Below are 4,740 nucleotides of genomic sequence, written 5' to 3'. Positions count from 1 at the left end.
GGGAGAAGCCACACCCTCTGCCTCCCATGCCCTGGCCCTCCTGGCTTCTAGAACCTTCTCATGAATCCTGGTCCAGGCCCAAAGAAGGCACATCAGTGACCCAGAGGGGGTGGTGATCTGAAGAGACCCTGCAGTCCCCTCTTCTCTCTAACCCCCTCCAGGGCCTAGTATCAGCCTACAGCCCAGGAGAAAAAGATAGTCTAAGTTTACATGTGGTGTTCAGATGCCCCCAGGTAAAGCATTGTGAACCAAAGCAAAGGCCCTAGCGGGTTGGACCTACAGGGTCTACTCTGCAATTTCCATTTGGAAAGTCAGGAAGAGTCAGCTGACCATGGTTCTCAGCATGTGTTTGAAGGGCTGCTGGCCTGGGAAGAGGGTGGAGACCCTGTGTGTCCTTCCCCAGAATGGAGGTTGATGGGAGGTAGGTGTCAGTTCCGTGCCAGAAAGACCTTTCAAAGAATTAGAGCTTCCCACAATGTTTGGTGCCATAATGAGGTAGTGAGTTCCCCATTGTGGAAACTGTTCAAGCTCTTAAATACTTATTGAGCACCAACTAGTGTCAGGCACTGTCGAAGGCACTGGGGACACAGGCTGGCAGGGGACACAGAGAGGATGCGGGGACCGACTAAGATGCAGAATCAAGGCTAGACGGGGGGGAGCAGCAGGCAGTGCTTCCTGGAGAGGAGAGCGTGCGTGAGGTGTGGAAAGCCAGGACAAGCCAGTGGAAGGAGAACAGAGGGCATCCCCAGTGGGGGCTCAGCAAGGAGCCTCACTTTGCCCAAAACCCACAGATAGGGACAAACAGGAGAGAACTAGGGCCCCTGTGGCTCTGACCTCCAACTTACTGTGGCCTGAGCACTGGGCAGTCTGCTCCCTCCAGAGGACAGGGCAAGAAGAGAAGGGGCTTGAAACACAGCAGGAGAGACTGGAGCCAGGCAACAGGGAGAACTTCCTGCTAGGACTTCCTGGATTCCAAACTGGCATGATACTGGGGGATTCCCTGAGCCCCAGGGCTTTCAGGAGGGGGTGCAGCCACAGGAACTTGGAATTGAAGGGCCCTTTGTGCACTTGGCCAGGGGAGCGCAAAAAGCCTCTGAGGGCCACTCCATGCAGGGGAGGCTGGGAACGGGAGAGGGCAGCTGTGCATGGCGGCCATGGTCAAGTGTCTTGCCTTGTTTTCTTCGCACAGCAGAAGTTGCCTTGTCAGTCCTCCTGCAAAACCTCTGTGCAATTGCTATGCTAGGAATGGGAAAGCCAGAAGGCTCCACGGGACAGAGGCAGAGGGAAGGAAGGCCCACAGCAGGGATCCTCCATGAGGTGGAGGCTTGGAACCTGCCCCAACCCTGTGTCCCCTGGCTGGGCCAGAAAGACATGGAATAGGGAGAGCAGGCAGCCTCTGGCCAGGACAGGGGGCAGGAGGAGGGGGCAGGATCCTGGGCTCTAGGCCAATCTGGACTCCACAGTGGGAGGCTGGTCTAGACATTATCCAAGGACGCCCCCAGCTCCAATCTTTCCAGGACCGACAGAGACAAGACAGGCTCCCTTCCTTTACTGTCCTTTCCAGGGCAGAGAGCACCAGCCATGCTGTGAAGCCTCATTTGCCAAAGTGTCCTGTAGATAAGAGTCAAACCGGATAATGCTTAAAAGACACTTTGGAAATGTGGAGTCAGGACTTTTATCTCCAAAGCCAAGTTCCAACGGGCAACAGAAGATGCAAAACACATTGTACCTAAGGCCTGGCCTGGGGGCTTTGGGGACGGTCGGCTTCTAGTTGACAGCTGGAAATGGAGGCATTTCTGGCAGAGAAACAGGTCTAAGGAGGCAGCGCCAGCTTCCTCAGGTCCTGTCTCTACAAGGCCCCATTGCTGTAACTAGCCAAGCCAAGCAGGCTGCCCTGCCTGGAAAACTGACTGACCTGCCCTGGACCCCTGCTTCCCTGGAACAGAGATGGGGAGCCCCATAGGCAAGCTCTGGGTTTGGAGCAAGGGGGCTGAGACTACGCCCTTGGAGACGGGTGCACCCTGGGCCCGTGTTTGTAAGTGGAGGGACACCCAATGGGGTTAAGAAGCCTCAGGAGAATTCAAGGCCCCTTGCACACCCGCTGATTGTATAGAAGAGAAAGTTCAGGCTTAGGAAGGAGGGGTCACCTGGCCAAGGTCACACAGCCCCCAAGCTGACACTCGTGAGGCTGCCTCTTCTGCCTCCCAGGTGGGAGGGCCAGGCTTCCCCATGCCAGGTGCCCCCACCCAAGTCTGGGGCAGGACGGCCGGAGCTCCATGGGGTGAGGGGGTGTGGGGTTGCTGGGCTCGGGCCAGGACTGAGATGCCACAGAAGCTGGTGTTCTGCCAGGGCGGGGCAGGCAGGCCTGGGGGCAGAGGCGGGCCTGGCCTCTCCCCACCTGGCAGAAGGCATTTCTTACCTAATAAGGTGCTTTATTCTCTGCCTCAAACAGCTTCTGACAAAGCAGGGTGGTGCAGGGGGTGGGGCCAGCTCCTGGGGCCACACCCCGCCCGCTCACCCCACTGCACCAGGCTAGGCCTTTCTGGGGGCAGCAGGGTCTGTAGCAGACCCTGGTCTACCTGAGAAAAGCAGGCGAGCTCCAGCTGGCCTCCGAGAACCCAAGCCTGGCCTAGGATGCAGGGCCCCTGTGTGCCCATCCTCACCCTTGTGGGAGGGGGCTGTCCACATGCAGTTCAGGGCCCAGGTTCCCCGAACCTGCACTGCTTTCCCCCAACACCCGGTATAAGCCAAGCTGCCTCTCCTGCCCCATCCCACACACACAGATATGCACACACTTCCTGCGCTGTCCCTGGGGGCAGTGAGGCCTGGATCCCCCAAGTAGGGAGGTCCCCCAGGACCTCCCACTGTTAGCCCAGAGAAAGCAGGTCAGGGCCGCTCCAGGGAGTCCAGCAGAGCCCTGTGTCTTCATCCTCAGAGGCAGTGGAGGGGCCTGGGCGCCAGGCCCCATGCCTGGGAGGGACAGTGACACAACTCCCCATGGGAAGATCTGGCCCCAGGCCCTGTGGGCCCCTGCCTGACTGAGCGAGGGGTGGTGTCGAGGGGGTCCTAGTGGTGAGCTGGACTGAAGTGGAGGAAGGGCCGGGACCAGGCCACACAGAGCACCTGAGGAGGAGCGTCCCAGTGGGACACATGCTAGTCGGGTGACTCTGGACAACTATTAGCAACCCCGGTGTCCGCATCTGTAAAGTGGGAACAATGCACCTTCCTCTCAGAACTGTTTCAAGGATCCAGTGGGTGCACAGTTTGGACAGATGGCACATGGTCACCTGCATATGCCCTTTATCAGGCAGCGGGGGAAGGCTCTGTGTGCCCCTCAGGGTCTCCAGCTGTGCCTGCAGGTCCCCCTCCAGGCCCTAACCAGGGAGTAACCACGAAGAGAAGGAAGGCCTTCTCAGCAAACAGCTGAGTTTGCTCCAGGAGCACAGGGCCCTTAGTCACCAAGGAGCTTCTTGGGAATGTCTCACAGCACCACCGAGGGAAAGGCACCAGTGACGGCACCCACACCAGGGGGGCCCTCCGCTCTCAGGGCGCCGTGTCCTGAGCTCCAGTGTGTGGATCTCTGTGAGTGTGGCGGTGTATGGCTCTGGTGTCCCGCCAGCAGCTCGGCCACACCCGGGTGACTCAGGGCTGCAGCACGCACCCTACCCGGCCAGTGGGAGAACAAAGCCGCCAGCTCAGGGCCTGGGCATCCAGCCTGAGTCACATACAGGCACACCCAGCCCAGCCAGGAGCCCCCACCCCTCCGGACCCACCCCAGCCCAGGGCTCAGGAGCTCCCCCAATCCCTGCCACAGTGAGGAAACCGAAGTAGCCCCTCACACTGACTGGACTTGCCCAGGTGCGACCGGCTGAGATGAGGAGCTGGGCCCAAGGAAGCCTGGAGGTCTCGCTGAGACCAGGAGCAGAAGCCCACAACCAGGCCCCCGACTCCAGCTCAGTGCAGTAGCAGGGGACAGGCCCTGGCACAGGGAGCATCAGGCCTGAGGCCCAGGAGCCCAGCTTCCCCATGGGGCTGGACTCAGAGGGAAACCAAGGCAGAAGGAGAGGACCTCAGTGAGAGCCATGGGCCTGGCTCAGTCTGGGTTGAGGACACACTGTGGACACAGCCCTGACTCCCTGCCCCTCCGTCACTCTCAAATGTGGAGGAATCATGACAAGGTGAGACGGCCAGGCCTTCAGGTGACCGCTCTGCTTAAGACAATGAGGAGCAGCCCAGCCTCCCCGCCTAGACCTGGGAGTGAGGTTTGTGAGGAAAGGGGCCAGGGCTTGCTCTGCTAAGTGCGCCAACACCACCAGCGGCTCAAAGAAGGTGCTAAGGTTCCCAGACAAGGACCCAGAGTGAGGCCGAGGCAGGAGGGCAGGCAGCAGGCAGGGGTGGGGACCCTGGATTCCCCGGCAGGGGGGAACCCCAAACCCCAGGCCCTTTCCAGTGTGAAATGGGGGCCCCTGCTTCAGCTGATACTCCATCCCTGGAGAGTCTGGGGCTCCACTGCAGGATGCCACCTCCTGGAGCCCTGGTCCAAACCCAAAGGGTGGTGGGGTCTGGCCACCAGCTGGGTCTCCAACCAAGGCCATAGCTGAGAGCAACCCTGCAAAAAGGGAGAAAAAGCCCATCAGGGACACCACAGGGCAGAACGAGCAGATCCTCGGACACTCTCAGCAGGCCCCACGCACCTGATCCTACCCCAGAAGCCCTCGCCCTGACCCAGCCTCACCCAAC

At 60.0% G+C, this 4,740-nt stretch overlaps 2 annotated features.

The window, feature by feature from the left end:
* Positions 608–1,422: an enhancer, noted in NCBI's record as "H3K4me1 hESC enhancer chr12:52543503-52544317 (GRCh37/hg19 assembly coordinates)". NCBI's record gives its function as "activates a minimal SCP1, AML or CMV promoter by ChIP-STARR-seq in primed H9 embryonic stem cells {active_cell/tissue: H9 hESC(primed)}" and the evidence as "EXISTENCE:reporter gene assay evidence [ECO:0000049][PMID:30033119]".
* Positions 3,482–3,776: an enhancer, noted in NCBI's record as "tiled region #3292; HepG2 Activating DNase matched - State 9:DNaseU, and K562 Activating DNase unmatched - State 8:EnhW". NCBI's record gives its function as "activates a minimal TATA promoter and a strong SV40 promoter by Sharpr-MPRA in HepG2 cells, with weaker activity in K562 cells {active_cell/tissue: HepG2 | K562}" and the evidence as "EXISTENCE:reporter gene assay evidence [ECO:0000049][PMID:27701403]".

The sequence above is a fragment of the Homo sapiens genome, chromosome 12, assembly GCF_000001405.40.
Source record: "Homo sapiens chromosome 12, GRCh38.p14 Primary Assembly".
NCBI classification, from domain to species: Eukaryota; Metazoa; Chordata; class Mammalia; order Primates; family Hominidae; genus Homo; species Homo sapiens.
The sequence above is the reverse complement of the archived record's forward strand: the minus strand, read 5'-3'. Positions and strand labels throughout refer to the sequence as shown.